The 16354-nt window shown below is 39.2% G+C and overlaps 1 protein-coding gene and 1 long non-coding RNA gene across 6 annotated transcripts in view, besides 1 other annotated feature; both read right to left on the bottom strand.

Moving 5' to 3' along the window:
* MCU (mitochondrial calcium uniporter) overlaps nucleotides 1–16354 on the bottom strand; it is a 195552-nt gene that overhangs the window by 120633 nt on the left and 58565 nt on the right. The window lies entirely within an intron of this gene.
* LOC124902450 (uncharacterized) lies at nucleotides 13–15468 on the bottom strand. 2 transcript variants are annotated; one of them, XR_007062189.1, is made up of 2 exons: nucleotides 6390–15468; nucleotides 13–4183 (listed from the first exon to the last, which is right to left on the bottom strand). It is a non-coding gene; the product is annotated as an uncharacterized LOC124902450 (long non-coding RNA). The 2 variants fall into 2 exon arrangements; XR_007062190.1 differs by lacking the exon at nucleotides 6390–15468 and adding an exon at nucleotides 6032–6358.
* Nucleotides 9634–10133: an enhancer, noted in NCBI's record as "OCT4-NANOG-H3K27ac hESC enhancer chr10:74516687-74517186 (GRCh37/hg19 assembly coordinates)". NCBI's record gives its function as "activates a minimal SCP1, AML or CMV promoter by ChIP-STARR-seq in primed H9 embryonic stem cells {active_cell/tissue: H9 hESC(primed)}" and the evidence as "EXISTENCE:reporter gene assay evidence [ECO:0000049][PMID:30033119]".

The following is a 16354-nucleotide window of genomic DNA, read 5'->3' as shown; positions in this document are numbered from 1 at the left end:
CAAGGGAACTTATAGAATGATAAAAATGTTCTATATTTTATTGTGGTAGAAGTCACATACAATTGTCAAACTTATTACTTGTACACTTAAAATAGGTTTAAATTCGTTAAAGTTGATTTTAAAAAGATTGAAAGATACAAAATCAAAGCTAGATCCTGTAGAAGCAGTTCTCCCCACAAGAACAATCTCTTCTGAGTATTATTTTTCATACCTACTCATCTTTGGGAAATGAAATTTATTTAAATCAGAAGGAATAAACAGTTTAATAAATAAAAGTTCATTTGAAGACTGACAGAGCGTTAAACAACCTGGCTTTCAATCATAATTGATCAATAAGTATCAGAAATACAGGATCAGAAGGCTATGAAGTACCAATTTTACACAGAGAGAAATGCAAGTACCAAGAAATGGGCTATGACTTTGAATGGTCAGTTTTAATACCCTCGCCACAAGATTCTGCAATCTCCTAAAGTACAGATGAGAAAGGAATTTTTTTTAGTTAAAGGTAAAATTGAAAAATATTCAAGGGTTCTAGTAGTCCAAGCAGCTCTAAGGTACAGATTTCTAATTCATGACTTCAATGATCTATGTGTAATGAATAAACATAGGTTGTCTTTTTCTTGCATATTTTGTACTTAGCAATATATAAAGGCCATTAAAAGAAAAGCTGATATCTGAACTGCAGAGACTGTGGCAAACCTTGACTTTTGCCATAAATTGCTAATGCTAATTAAGACACGTTGGGTTTAATCTGAGATTCAAGAAAATCTAGTCTTGTCATACTTATACTATAAAAAGAAAGACAAGAAAAAAGAGCCACACAAAAGGTACTTGAAATTTGCAACTTTCTCTTAACTTTATTCCAATTGATATGAATGTCAAGAAATGAAAAACAGTCAGTCATGGTGGCTCACGCCTGCAATCCCAGCACTGTGGAAGGCCATGGTGAGAGGACTGCTTGAGGCCAGGTGTTCAAGACTAGCCCGCAAAACAGTGAGACCCCCACATCTCTACAAAAAATTTAAAAATTAGCTGGGTGTGGTGGCACATGCCTGTAGTCCCAGCTACTCAAGAGGCTGAGTCAAGAAGATCAGTGGAGCCTAGGAGGTCAAGGCTGCAGTGAGTTATGATCTCGCCATTGCACTCCATGTCTTCCAGCCTGGGAGCAAGATTCTGACTCAAAAAAAAGAAAAAGAAAATAAAATAAAAGAAAATAGTCATCTGAATTGTTTTTATTCTGTCGAGTTTCTTTCTTTTTTTTTTTTTTTTTTTTTTGAGACAGCGTCTGGCTTTGTTACCCAGGCTAGAGTGTAGATCATAACTCACTGCAGCATCAACATATTGGGCTTAAGCAATCCTCCTGCCTCAGCCTCTGGAGTAGCTGGCACCAGAGATACGTGCCACCATGCCTGGCTATATTTCTTATTTTTTGTATAGATGGAGTCTTGCTATGTTATCCAGGCTAGTCTTGAACTCCTGGGCACAAGCTATCTTCCTGCCTTTGCCTTCCAAAATGCTGGGAATACAAGTGTGAGTCACCATGCCCAGACTTATTGCTTATTCTTCCTGGAGGTATTTGCCTTAATAATATCTATAATAGAAAGCCCTACAGATTATTAAAATAATAATCTTTGAAATATAAAACATGACCTAGGAAATAACAACTTTATAGAAGGAGGTAGCATAAAGAAGAACAAAAGGCTAATAAAACCTTTCCCTTCTACTCATTACCCTCTTCTATCATCTCCTCTTTTATAGTACTTCTTACGAAACCATTTATAGATTTTGCAACATTTTATGGGCAAAACTATTTTAATTAATACATTTCTAAACAATCAAATAGTTGTAAATTAACTGCACTATGCTATCAACAACTGAATTTATAGACCGAGGTTAAGGGCCAAAACACAAAAATCTTTTCATTAAAACTCTTGTTCTACATGCCCTAACTCTCTCTTTTTTTTTTTTTTTTTTTAAGAGATGGGGTTCACCATGTTGCCCAAGATGTTCTTGAACTCCTGGGCTCAAGCGATCTGCCCACCTCGGCCTCCCAAAGTGCTGAGATTACAGGCACAAGCCATTACTCCCGGCCCTCTAATATTTAATTCTTTATAAGGGCAAAAATCACATCAATATAAGTCGTATGTTTTCCTGTTCTATAAATATGTGGTCATTAATGAATCTATTTAGTGGCTTTCTCAAAGTATTTACAGTTAACTTGTGCTATAGAAATTCAGACCATTCCCTGATAAATCCTATTCTCTTAATATAGCCAAAAGTCATATACATCTACTCAGAACTTCATGGCAATTACATTTCTTAGTTACTCTGAGTAGACTGCAGCCCATATCTCAATTAGAAATATTAAAATTATAACCCCAAATCTGTTTAGGGGAATGTAATACTTTAAATCCAAATTGTAATTCTTCCCTACTGCATAGTCTTCCCAATGAAAAAGTATAATCACCATTTAAACATTTTATAGTTTTAGCAGTGTAATGTAAGAACTCTTAATTCATCTGGTAAACAACATATTTGGGCACATGTGCTCAAATGTTATGTTACCTTTTAGCTACTGGACCAACCACAGAATCATCTTTCAAAATAGCTAGAATTCCTAGGTATGCAATACATTAGAATGCTGCAAAACCACAAGGTTTTTTTAATACCAGGTCTACACACAAATTCCACTCCCAACCAGTAACTATGTCCCTGGAATGTTTCTGATATCTTCAAATAACAAGTTCCTTCTGCAGACAAGATTACACTGTCCATTAAATTGAATAATGGGCTATTTGGAAAGCCAGAAACTGGCTCAATCACCACAGCAAAATGAAGAAGAAAGTAAACTGGAATGGACTTGTACAATGCCTTAATTTCTTAAATCATTTAGTGGAACTGAAAGCCACAGGACAAGGAAAGACAAAACATGTGTCCAGTCAACATTATGTAAATGTGAAGGGGATGCTAAAGGAAATAAAGTCAGCTCCTAAGAAGGGAAAATATAACAGTTCAACCTAAACTGTTCTGCTTATTTACTGATGGTAAATGGCTACTTTTAGAGAAAAAAAATAGAAATTTAGGCTGACTTTAATCAAGGTTCATTCTTTGGTTGAGCACATGCGTGTGTGTGTGTGGAAGGGGAGTGTGAAGGGGAGAGTATTAATATTACCTTACACCTCTCATAGCTTTCTTTCTGTATTTTCCTATCTCTGATGGTATGACTCAGTCACCTAAGCCAAAAACTTAATCAGCTGAATTATATATAAAGATACCTGAACTATATAGTAAAAGCCTTTTCAGTCTCTTTACCGCCAGCCTATTCCCCCTCCAGACAGCTGAATATGATCTACCTAAAGTGAAATCTAATCAAGTCACTCGCCAGTTTCAAATCCTTCAATGTCATGCCACTGTCTACAGGATAAACTGAAGCTGTAAAGCACAGTATGCAAAGTCCCACCATAATCAAACCTTTCTCTCCATCCCTACTCATCCCCAAGCTACCATTTCATACTACATTTTTACTGATTTGTGATTCTTTAAAAAATAAAAATTAATGTTAAAACCCATTCTTTTTCACACCTCTATATATACTCATGTAGCTCCCCTTAGCTCAAATGCCTTTCCCTCACTCATTTGACACCCAGCCAGCAGCCACTCATACTCCCGCTTCACCCAGTTTGAGACCCAGCTGATCTGCTCCTCGAAGCTTTTCCTGGGCTCCTAAACTGGGTTAGGTGCCAGACTCTTTGATATTTCCTTAGTATGGTAGGTGAAATAAGGACCCCAAAATGTGTCCATGCCCTAATCCTCAAAATTAGTGAATATGTTACCTTACGTGGCAAAAGGAACTTTACAGATGTGGCTAAGGACTTTGATGTAAAAATGAAAAAGTTTGCACCCAGGATTATCCAGGTGGGCACAATCTAATCACAGTTATTTAATCAATTAAAATCAGAAAACCTGTTCCAGCTCCAGAGAACCAGAGAGATGGCAGCCTGAAAGGAACAGAAAACACTAGCTTTGAAGATGGAGAAAAAAATCATGAACCAAGGAAATGTGGGTAGTCTCCAGAAACCAGAAAAGGCAAGGAAACAGATTCTGCTCTCACAGGTCCAGAAAGGAACACATCCCTGAAGACACGTTGATTTTAGCCCAGTGGGACCTCTGTCAGATTTCTGACCTACAGAAATGCAAGATAATAAATTTGTTATTTTAATTTATTACTGCAGGAAAAAAAAAACACCTAATACACTGGGGAACAGTTTTATGACATTATACTATCACTATCTGTGCCTGCTTCCTGACTAAACCTTAACAATATCGAAGGCAGAAAATCTATCTTACTTAAAACTGCATTCCCAGTACCTAGCATAGTTCCTGTACGTAGAGGTGCTCAATAGTATTTTAGAACTGACACATGTTCATAATTAAAAAGATTCTATTAGTATAATTAAAACATTTTTCTTCAATCCAGAATCTTAATTGGCAATATGAGTTCCTTTCACATTTCCTCACCAGTCCTTCCAGTTTACTACTTCTCACATGCCTCTTTTTATTAACAAGACAAGGATTCACTGTGACCCAGTCTTTCCATGGAACTTGCATGTATGTAGTTTAAAAAAAAAAAATCCCTGTTCCTCTATTATATCAAATACCATCTATTTTTTAAAATCATAGTATGTATTGTCATTAGGAATGATTTAGGGAGGATTCCCTTTTTCTCAGTCTTTTGGAATAGTTTCACTAGGATTGATTGGTACCAATTCTTCTTTGAATGTCTGGTAGATTTCAGCTGTGAATCCATCTGGCCCTGGGCTTTTTTTGTTTTTGTTGGCAGTTTTAAAATTACTGATTCAATCTCACTGCTTGCTATTGGTCTGTTCAGGGTTTCTTTTCTTCCTGATTTAATCTAGCAGGTTTGTATGTTTTGATTTTAGAGGGTTATAAAATGGTATTTTCATACTTTCTGAAGATTTCCAAATCCTTGATTTAAGGGCTGAACTTCCAGTACTAATATATTTTGTCAGATATTCAGGGGGCCTAAGGAGCCTAAGGACAAATCACTTTGGATAAATAAAATAGTTCTTAAAAGATCTTGGAACTGATAGAACTAAAAATACGTTCCTAAATCTTCTCACTTACAAGTGGGAGCTAAGCTCTGAGTACACAAAGGCATACAGAGTGATATAATGGACTTTGGAGACTCAGAGGAGGGAGTGTGGAATAAAAAAACTACATATTGGGTACAATGTACACTACTCAGGTAATTGGTACACTAAAATCTCAGAATTCACCACTATATACTTCATCTATACAATCAAAAAACTATGTAACCATCTATGTTACAGGTGGTTGTAACCAAACCACCTGTAGCCCAAAAGCTATTGAAATTAAAAAATACTTTTAAAAAAAGAAATTAAATGTCTTACATCAACATATATATCATTCTTTCCACTAATCAAATCTGGAATTTGGGCAAAGTCAGTCATCACAGTTGAGAAAGAACTTGCAAAAAGACAGGTCCCCATGAAGGCATGGCAGTGCCGATCATAAAATACCAAAAAGTACCATCACGTGACAAGGTGAGAAAAGGTATTCTGGCCATAAGATAACTTCGTTTTCTTTGTACCTCAGAATAAATTTTCCAAGATGAAAATAGGTCTATAAATTATATGACAGCCCTATCTTTCTTATCAACTGTTACTTCCATTCTTTGGGAGACACAAAGTAGAAAGATTACAAATGTAGGCTCATTTGGTGGCTTAAGATTGGTTCCACATACAACTCAAACCTTTTGTTCAACATTTTCTGACGCTTCTCATTACTAATGGTTAGCATTTACACAGGTTTAAAAATGGACTGCAAAACATTAGCAATATTGATCTTCACACTTCACTAATTAGCTCTAATCTTCAGTCACTTCATTAACTCTCTGGACCTTAGTTTTCTCATCCATAAAATGAGAAAGTTAGATTAGATGAAGTCTACAATTTTTTTCCAACTTATAACATTCTACGGTGGCACTAACCTTTGTATCCTGCCTGGCATTTGACTGAGTCCAGTACAACTAGAAGAAACAGAAGGTATCAGGACATAATTTAAAAGCTTCTGAGAGACTATGTTTGAATTTCAGCCCTATCATTTACTAATTGTAAGATCTTGGGTTTTAGTTGCCTTGTCTATTGAATAGGAATGAAAATATCTATGGGCCTGGCACAGTGGCTCATGCCTGTAATCGCAGCACTTTGAGAGGCCGAGGTGGGAGACTTGCTTGAGCCAAGAGTTCAAGACCAGCCTAGGCAACACAGTGAGACCCTGTCTCTGCAAAAAAAAAAAAAAAAAGAAAGAAAAAAAAAATTTAAGTAACCAGACATGGCGGCACACACCTGTAGTACTAGCTATTCAGGATGCTGAGAAAGAAGGATTGCTTGAGCCCAGGAGTTTGAGGCTGCAGTGAGCCAAGATCATGCCACCGCACTTCAGCCTGGGTGACGGGGTGAGACCCTCTCTAAAAACAAAAGAAAACCAAAACATTTATGACGTAGGGTTTTTTGAGGACCAAATTATAAAATATATTTTTAAATAAATCTAAAACAAGCCCTGGTGTTAAGTGCTCACTAAATATTCCTTTCTCTTAAAGTGTGACTTTTGAGCATTATAACCTGGTTTTTCAGGGAACCATTTCTTGAATAAAGATTTCAAAATTTTGGCTGGGTGAGGTGGCTCACACCTGTAATCCCCATACTTTGAGAGGCTGAGATGGGAGGATCGCTTGAGCCCAGGACTTCAAGAGCAGCCTGAGCAATATAGTGAGACATTGTCTCCACCAAAAATAAAATAAAATAAATTAGCCCGGCATCATGGTATATGCCTGTGGTCCTTGCTACTCAGGAGGCTGAGGTAGGAAGATCACTTGAATACAAAAGGTCGAGGCTACGGTGAGCTGTGATCACGCAACTACACTCTAGCCCAGGCAAAAGAGCTAGACTCTGTCTCAAAAAAAAAAAAAATTTAAAGTTTTACAGAATTTAAAAATAATGTAGCATCAGGAGTATCTCAGTCTGCTCAGGCTGTCAAAATATCAAAGAGTGGATGGCTTCAACAACAGAAATTTATTTTCTCACAGTTCTAGAGGCTAGAAGCTCCAAATCAAGGATTGGTTTCTGGTGAGGGCTCTCTTCTTGGCTTGCAGGCAGCTACCTTCACACTGTATTCTCACACGGTGGAGAGAAAGAGCTCTGGCATGTCTTCTTCTTAAACAGGCACCAGCCCTATAGGATTAGGGGTCCACCCTTATGACTTCATTTAACCTCTGTCACTTCCTCCCAGGCCACTATCTCCAAATAGTCACATTGAGGGTTAGGCTTCAACCCTATAATATGTAAATTTGTAGTATCAATTTGGGGGGAAGAAACATTCAGTCTGTAAGAGTATTTATTTTTGTACTGAGAGTTTTTATTTTAAAACAAATTTCATAGACTTAATTTAAACTTCATGCTAAGTTTATAAGATTAAGGGAGGAGACCACCCCTCATATTGTCTTATGCCCAATTTCTGCCTCCAAAGAAAGAAAAAGTAAAAACTAAAAGGCAGAAATGAAATCCACAAGCAGACAGCCTGGTGCCACACCCTGGGCCTGGTAGTTAAAGACTGACCCCGACCTAATCGGTTATGTTATCTATAGATTACAGACATTGTATAGAAAAGCACTGTGAAAATCCCTATCCTGTTTTGTTCCGATCTAATTACCAGTGCATGCAGCCCCCAGTCATGTACCCCCTGCTTGCTCAATCAATCACGACCCTCTCACACGCACCCCCTTAGAGTTGTGAGCCCTTAAAAGGGACAGGAATTGCTCACTCGGGGGCTAGGCTCTCGAGACAGGAGTCTTGCCGATAACCCTGGCCGAATAAACCCCTTCCCTCTTTAAGTTGGTGTTTGAGGAGTTTTGTCTGCGGCTCGTCCTGCTACAGATGAACAGAAGTACTATTACCCTACATGCAGACTTGCGGAACAGACATAAAGAGGTTCAGCAACAAACCTTAATAATACAACTAAACAGGTACAGAGCTACAAACAGAACTAGAGCCTTTTTATCTTGAAGCTCATTCCATTAAATAATACTGCATTTTTCAAACCTTATTCTAAGTGTATTATCATTGTCTTATTCCACACTACTTATTAATTCTGTCTTAAAATTGTGTTTCCAATAGAAAATTTAAGTAATATTACGGAAAAGAGAGATTTTTTAAAAGCCTCAAACACTAAATTTCTCAAAGTCAAGAAAATAGATTAAACAGCCATGAAAACCATGGTTTAATTACCTTTATGATTCTGTGATTTCTGCTTTTAGGGAAAGCCAAAAAAATTGGCCCATTCAGCAAAAGCATTGGTTTATTTCTTGACCAATACTCATCAATTAATCTAATCCACCCACAAGCAGCCTGAAGTAAATTAATTCTAGTAACTGAAAGTTGCATATTCATACTTTCAGAAAAAAGAAATAGACTGCCTTAGTAACTATTTCCCTTTCTCTGGGTGGCAGTTTCTCTGAGGTTTCATACATACACCATCAATTCTCTGAGATTTTACACACCGTCTCTCTGTGTACCAATACACAACTGTATCTGTGGACATGATATAGCACAGAGGGCTGTAAAGGAAGCCAGAATATGTCACCCCAAAATATTCCTCTTTGACATAAATATTTTAAACCGAAGAAGCAGGTGCAATGGCATGTGGCTGTAGTACCAGCTACTCGGGAGACTGAGATGAGAGATCACTCGAGCTCAGGTGTTTGAGGCCAACCTGGACAACATAGTTTTAGACTCTCTTAACCAAATCTGTGAAGAGGGAGTTGAGAAAAATTAATGAATAAAGGAAGAGCTCTTTCTATCCTCCTCTCCTGCTTTTCTACCTAAAGATATAAATTCTCCTTTACTGGAGACAACTTATCAACTCAGATATGGCACCAGAGGGATCACAAATCTTACTCCACTAGTTTACTGCCACATATTTACTTTTCCTTCCCATAGTTCCCCACCTTTAGAAGTGTTAACCTGCTTTTCTTTGTCTTGTCACTTCTGGAAAATTCATTGCTCTTTGTTGAAGATGCTACATAGGCAAGTGTTCTAAGCCACTGCTTTGAATTACTTCTCACTGAGGTTTCTCCTGCATCATGTGCACTGCACACGTGAATATACACCTGCTTGTTTTTCGCTTGTTAATCTGTCATTTGTCACAAAGGTCTGTCCCCAACTATGAACTTATGAGGGTTAAGGAAAAATTATATTTCTTCTCTGACAATTGCTTCAAAGAACATTCTCATGGGGGAGGGGGACAGAATTATTTAGTTGGGGAAAAACACTGGCTTATATTATCAAATAACTCTTCAAATTATCTCTTCAGACCACTTCAGCTAGCTAGGCATAAATTCTTTCCCTCTTTAGAGATTAAAAAAAAATTATTATGAACTAGGTGATGTTACTCCAATTTTTATGGCCTTTTAAAAAACTACTTTTATATTTTAGCACTGACACACAGGCTCGCACCTCTTAGAAAAAGTAAAAAGCTTCCATTCAAAAACTAGCAATTTTTACAGAGCTTTCTGTATGTTCTTTGGGTGGGGGTTGGGGAAGTAGGAGGAAGAAGGAGATGAAGCACACTGTACTTGTCCCAAATTATATTTTCCTTTTTCATGTTTTTCCCTGAAACAATATTGTTTGTACTCCTTATACAATAATGTCACATCTCCCTTGTTTCTTCAGCTGGAGGAGGTGGTGGTGGTGATTCCCGTTGCTAATCTCTACATTACCTCACCATCTCCTATTTGGCTCTCAGCTCTTTCACTATCTGCATTATAATTTTCCCTCATTGAATTCCTTCTGTTGTAAATGCCTGAAATGGTTTCTGTTTTCCTTGTGAGACCCTGACTGATAAAACCACTCACTTGACAATGTGCCATTTACTGCTTTTTGAAATGTTAAGTAGCTTTTTCATACACTTATGTACTTTCGTATGGTTCTTTTCTTTTTTTTTTTTTTCCTTTTTCAAGATGGAGGTCTCATTACGTTATCCAGGCTGGACCCATACTCCTGAGTTCGAATAATCCTCCTGCCTCAGCCTCCCAAGTACCTGGGACTACAGGTGTATGCCACTGAGCCCAGCTTCACATGGTTCTTTTACAAATAAAAAGCAAAAGCTTGAGTTGATGAACTCTGAGATCAAAACTCTTAACTTTCCAGTGCTAAAGATGGCAGCAGGGGGCAGGGATTGTGAGGAGGGGAGCTGGACACGGGGGGCGGGGCATAAAACGTCAACAGAGAATGTCAGGGAACAAAATAGATGGCAAACACTAACTTAAGGTAATATGCTAGCTATGCCAAAGTAAGGTCAAATCAAGGAGTCTCCTCAGATTGAGCTCTTCTTTGAATATGGCAAAACTACTACTAAAAACAAATCAGAAGGTGTACTGACCATGAATACAGCAAGCAATGATTATGCTATCACAGCCTCCAAGAGCAATGAACTTGCATTCACCCAGTGAATTATGCAGTTTCTCCTGAGAGGCCCCCCAAATTGGCTAATGACTCAAAAGAAAATTTTTATGTATAAGTAATTGTTAGTGGCTATAACCTAGAGCAATCTACTGAAAAATGTAGTTCTTAAATGCTAACAATCCAAACATAGATTGATAACACAACATGGTACAAATAGTATTGTTTCCAAAAAAGAAAGAGAATACCATACGGCCATGTAAACCTCTTTTAAAAACTGATTTTGGCCGGGCTCACACCTGTAATACAGTACTTTTGGAGGCTGAGGCAGGAAGATTGCTTGAGCTCACGAGTTCAAGACCAGCCTGGGCAACACAGCAAAACCCTGTATCTAATAAAAACACAAAAAATTAGCCAGGTGTGGTGGTTCACACCTGTAATCCCAGCACTTTGGAAGCTGAGGTGGGTGGATCCACTTGAGACCAGGAGTTCGAGACCCACTTGGGCAACAAAGCGAGACCTTGTCTCTACAAAACATGTAAAAGAAAACAATTAGCTGGGTATGGTGGTGCACACCGGTAGTCCCAGCTACTCAGGAGGCGGAGGTGGGAGGACTGCTTGACCCTGGGAGATTGAGGCTGCAGTGAGCTATGATCATATCACTGCACTCTAAGCCTGGGTAACAGAGAGAGAGACTCTGTCTCAATGAAAAAAAAAAAAAAATGGTTTCAATTGGGCTAATATCCCTAAAGCAAGTACTCTGGCACAACCTTTGAAAACTCTTATCTGGCAAAAACAACAACAACAACAAGGGTTGAAGAGATGCCATATTTAGATGATCATTTATCTATTTATGCTTCCGCCGTTCAAATTGCTTTGAATTACAGGCTACAAGTGCAAACTCATAGTGATCTAATATTAATAACAATAACAACAGTTAGCACTTAAATAGTACTTAATGTATTTACTATATTTATGCGCAAGGCACTATTCTAAATGCTTCATGTATTTAACTCATATAGTACTCACAACTCATTGGATAGGTATAATTGTTCCCCACTCTACCATCAACATTACACACCAGGCTTAAAGACATAAAGTAAATTGCCCAAGCTGGCCAGGTGGGGTGGCTCATGCCTGTAATCCCAGCACTTTGGGAGGCCAAGGCGGGTGGGTCACCTGAGGTCAGGACTTCAAGACCATCCTGATCCACATGCTGAAACCCCGTCTCTACTAAAAATACAAAACTAGCTGGGCATGGTGGTGCATGCCTGTAATCCCAGCTCCTTGGGTGGCTGAGGCAGGAGAATTGCTTGAACCCGGGAGGCAGAGGTTGCAGTGACTGAGATCATACCATTGCACTCTAGCCCAGGCAACAAGAGCAAATCTCTGCCTCAAAAAAAAAAAAAAAAAAAATCTCAGGTTCACATATCTAGTAAGAAATAGCTAGAATTTGACCCCAGGTAGTCTGAGACTACAGTCCATGCTTTTAACCACTATACTTATTATATTCCCTTCCTAACTTGATCAAGGTCACACAGCTAACTAGGTAGTGATACCAGGAATTCAATACAAATCTTGAGCCACATAAAAACACAGTTTGTTATGAAATATGTGAGGTTATAACTCTGTAGAAGTGCTAAGAAATCTTTAACATCATCTGCAAAAAATGTCTGCAAACTGGGCAGTATGGGACTTGAGTGTCATTTGTTGGGCTTTTTGTTGTTGTTGTTTTTGAGGCAGTGTCTAGCTAAGCCCAGGCTGGAGTGCAGTGATGCACTCATGGCTCACTGCCACCTCAACCTCCTGGGCTGCTCATGCCTGTAATCCCAGCAGTTTGGGAGGCTAAGACAGGTGGATGACCTGAGGTCAGGACTTCAAGACCATCCTGATCAACATGGTGAAACCCTGTCTCTGCCTCCCAAAGTGCTGGGACCACAGGTGTGTGCCAACATGCCTGGCTAATTTTTTAATTCTTTGTAAAGACAGGGTCTATGTTGCCCAGGTTCATCTCAAACTCCTGGGCTCAAGTAATCCCCCTGCCTTAGCCTCCCAAAGTGCTGAGATTACAGGTGTGAGTCAGCATGCCCCGCCTCCAGTGTCATCTGTAATTCAACCAACCTGCATGATACATAATAGAAGGAGGAAAATACTGATGATCAGAAAATCTGGCTGAAGTCTTAACTTTGCCATTAATTGGCAGCATGCTATTAAACAGAATATAAGCTCCGGACTCAAATAGACCTGGATTGAAATCTGGGCTTTAAGACCTTTGGGTAAGGGTGGCTCAGTTTGTGCACAGTACAAAGGCATCAAGGAAGCAAAATAAGGCTGAAATTCTGCCCATGTTCAGCTCACAGATGCTGAAATAAGTGGCATCTAAGCACAGGTCCCCAAGTTACTGCTTCGGGTGGTGTGCCAGGCCAGAGGAAGTTTGGCTTCCTCATTGGTTCACCACAGGGGGTAACTTTCCTAATTCAAACAGAAGTCTCTCATAGCTAGTGGTGGCTCTGCCTACTCTGCTACTTACCATATAACAATTGCTACTTGCAATATAATCTAGGGTAAGTTACTTAATCACTCTAAACCTCAGTTTCCTCATCTGGGAAATATGGCTGAAAACAGTACTTACTTCATAGTGTGGGTTTGTGTGTGTGTGTGTTTTGTTTTTTTGTTTTTTTTGGACAAAGTCTTCTTGCTCTGTCACCCAGGCTAGAGTGCAGTGGCGTGATCACAGATCACTGCAATCTCAATCTCCCAGGCTCCGGTAATCCTCCCACATCATCCTCCCAAGTAGCTGGGTCCAGAAGCGCATGCCACCACCACACCCAGCTAGTATTTTGTATTTTTTATAGAGACAGGATTTTGCCATGTTGCCCAGGTTGGTCTCAAACTTCTGGGCTCAAGCGATCTACCAGCCTCAGCCTCTCAAAGTTCTGGGACTACAGGCATAAGCCATTACGCCCGGCCCATTATGTGGTTTTCAGTATTAAATGAAATGATGCAAGTTAAGGTGCCAGGTACTTAATAGGTTCTCAATAAACTGTAACTATTAATATCATAATCTCTCTCAGCCTCAGATTCCTAATACACTAAAAATGAATACCACCTACTGCACAAGACATTTCTGGGAATGTTGAATGAAATTTGATAAATGAACAAGCAGTTTATAAACTATATTGTACAATGTAACAACGAGTAAATATAAAGGGTTCTTGGTAACTAGAACTTAATGTATTAATATGATGGAATGTCAAGTAATATTTTTGCTGCTGGTATTAACTCATTTAAAATTTTTACATCATATATTCTTATTTTGGGTGTTACTTATTTTAGGGAAGATAATCATGCTCACAGATCACTTTAAACTGTGAGAAAAAAATTATTTCATTAGCGATATATGTAAACAATACAAATCTAAGAGGTCTAAGGTTAACTGGTATCCTCCAAGAAAGAAAAATTCTTCACCCTATAATGTTTGAAGCAACTTTTTAAAAAGTCACCACAACCACTGAACTTTCTTGCTTTAAATTAGGGCCTCTCAATAGAAAAGATGGTGTTTTATATCCACATGTCATGCAGAAACCAGCAGACTGTTATGATGTTATGATGGCATAACTGCATCTTCTCTGAACTTGGAAATGGCATTCTTCAGAGACTGCCTGTTGATTCATTTCAACTTCAAAATGAATATTTGACCTTGCTTCTTTAAGAAGGGCTCCTTCCACCTTTACTGTAATGTTTGGGATATTTAAAGCTTCTATTACCATAAATTCCAAACTTACAGTCACACAGCAGCCATTGCTCTGCTATAAGAAACACACACCACAGGCCTACAAATGAGAGGATTTTAATAGGTCTCCAGTTCTGTAACTAAATGTTTCCTGTGACCCATGCAGCAGGCAAAACCCAAAACAAAACTAACACCAGATCCCATATTGTCCTTCATATCTCTTTGTCTTCCAAATGTGCCCTCAGTTTTGTTGTTGCTTTGTTGCTATTCATGTTTATTACTGCCACCAAAAAGCTAGCCACACATTTATCAATACAGTACTAAGAAAAGAATGTTTTCAACGTCATTAATGCCTATATGTTCTTAGCATTTAGACATAAAGCACATTCTATATTTACTGTGGATTATTTTGCCCATTCAAAAAAACATTTGGAGGGTGGGCGTGGTGCCTCATGCCTGTAATCCCAGCACACTGGGAGGCCGAGGCAGGCAGATCACTTGAGGCCAGGAGTTCAAGACCAGCCTGACCAACATGGTGAAACCCTGTCTCTAGTATTAAAAAAAAAAAAAAAAATCTGGACCTGTCACTTATGTCCTCAGCAGACTGATCTTCTCTGAGATAATGCGTGAAAAGTATTATCTCCTAAGGGTTGACTTCAAATAGACAAATGAATTAAAGATATAAATGTGCGGCCGGGCATGGTGGCTCACACCTGTAATCCCAGCACTTTGGGAGGCCTAGGGGGGTGGATCACGAAGTCAGGAGATCGAGACCATCCTGGCTAACATGGTGAAACCCCGTCTCTATTAAAAATACAAAAAATTGGCTCAGCGTGGTGGCGGGTGCCTGTAGTCCTAGCTACTCGGGATGCTGAGGCAGTAGAATCACTTTAACCCAGGAGGTGGAGGCTGCAGTGAGCCGAGATGGCACCACTGCACTCCAGCCTGGGCGACAGAGCCAGACTCTGTCTCAGGAAAAAAAAAAAAGAAAGTCTGTCACATGTACCCAAGCAGGCCTGCACAAGAATGTTCACAGTGGCATCTGAATGAATGACACTGAGGGATTAATAACAATGTCTCAAAGGAATGACACTGAGGGATTAATAACAATGTCTCAAAGGAAGCCAGACCCTCGGGAACCTGTGCAACAACAACATCATTAAGAAGAGAAAGAGGTGGAGTGCAGCGGCTCACACCCGTAATCCCAGCACTTTGGGAGGCCAAGGTGGGCGGATCACTTGAGGCCAGGAGTTTGAGACCAGCCTGGCCAACATGGTGAAACCCCGTCTCTACCAAAAAATACAAAAATTAGCCAGGCATTGTGGTGCATGCCTGTAGTCCCAGCTACTCAGGAGGCTGAGGCACGAAAATCACTTGAACCCAGGAGGCAGAGGTTGCAGTGAGTCAAGATCATGCCACTGCATTCTAGCCCGGGGAAACAGAATGAGACTCTGTCTCAAAAAAAAAAAAAAAAAAAAAAAAAAAAAAGAAGAAGAAGAAGATGTTAGAGAAAAAAAAACCATTTGAGGCTGGGTGCGGTGGCTCATACCTATAATCCCAGGACTTTAGGAGTCCGAGGCAGGTGGATCACTTGAGGTCAGGAGTTCGAGGCCAGCCTGGCCAACATGGTGAAACCCCATCTCTACCAAAAATATAAAAAAATTAGCCAGGTATGGTGGCGTGTGCCTGTAATCCCAGCTACTCGGGAGGCTGAGGCAGGAAAAACGCTTGAACCCAGGAGATGGAGATTGCAGTGAGCCGAGATCATGCCACTGCATTCCAGCCTGGGCAACAGAGCAAAACTCTGTCTCCAAAAAAATAAAATAAAAAATAAAAATGAATTAAAATATCAAACTATTGAAACATGCAATAACATGGATGAACCTCAAAGGCATTGTGCTGAGTGAAATAAGCTAATCTAAGCTAAATAAGCAACATAAATGTTATAAACTATTTGATTTCATTTATATGACAATCTGCAAAAGGCAAAAGTATAGAAACAGAACAAATGAAAGGTTGTCAGGGGGGTTAGGGATGAGAGGAAGAACTGAATTCAAATGGGCAGCACAAGAGAAATTTAGGGGCAATGAAACTGTTCTGCATTCTGATTGTGAAGGTGGTT

Source organism: Homo sapiens, chromosome 10 (genome assembly GCF_000001405.40).
Source record: "Homo sapiens chromosome 10, GRCh38.p14 Primary Assembly".
Taxonomy (NCBI): Eukaryota; Metazoa; Chordata; class Mammalia; order Primates; family Hominidae; genus Homo; species Homo sapiens.
The sequence above is the reverse complement of the archived record's forward strand: the minus strand, read 5'-3'. Positions and strand labels throughout refer to the sequence as shown.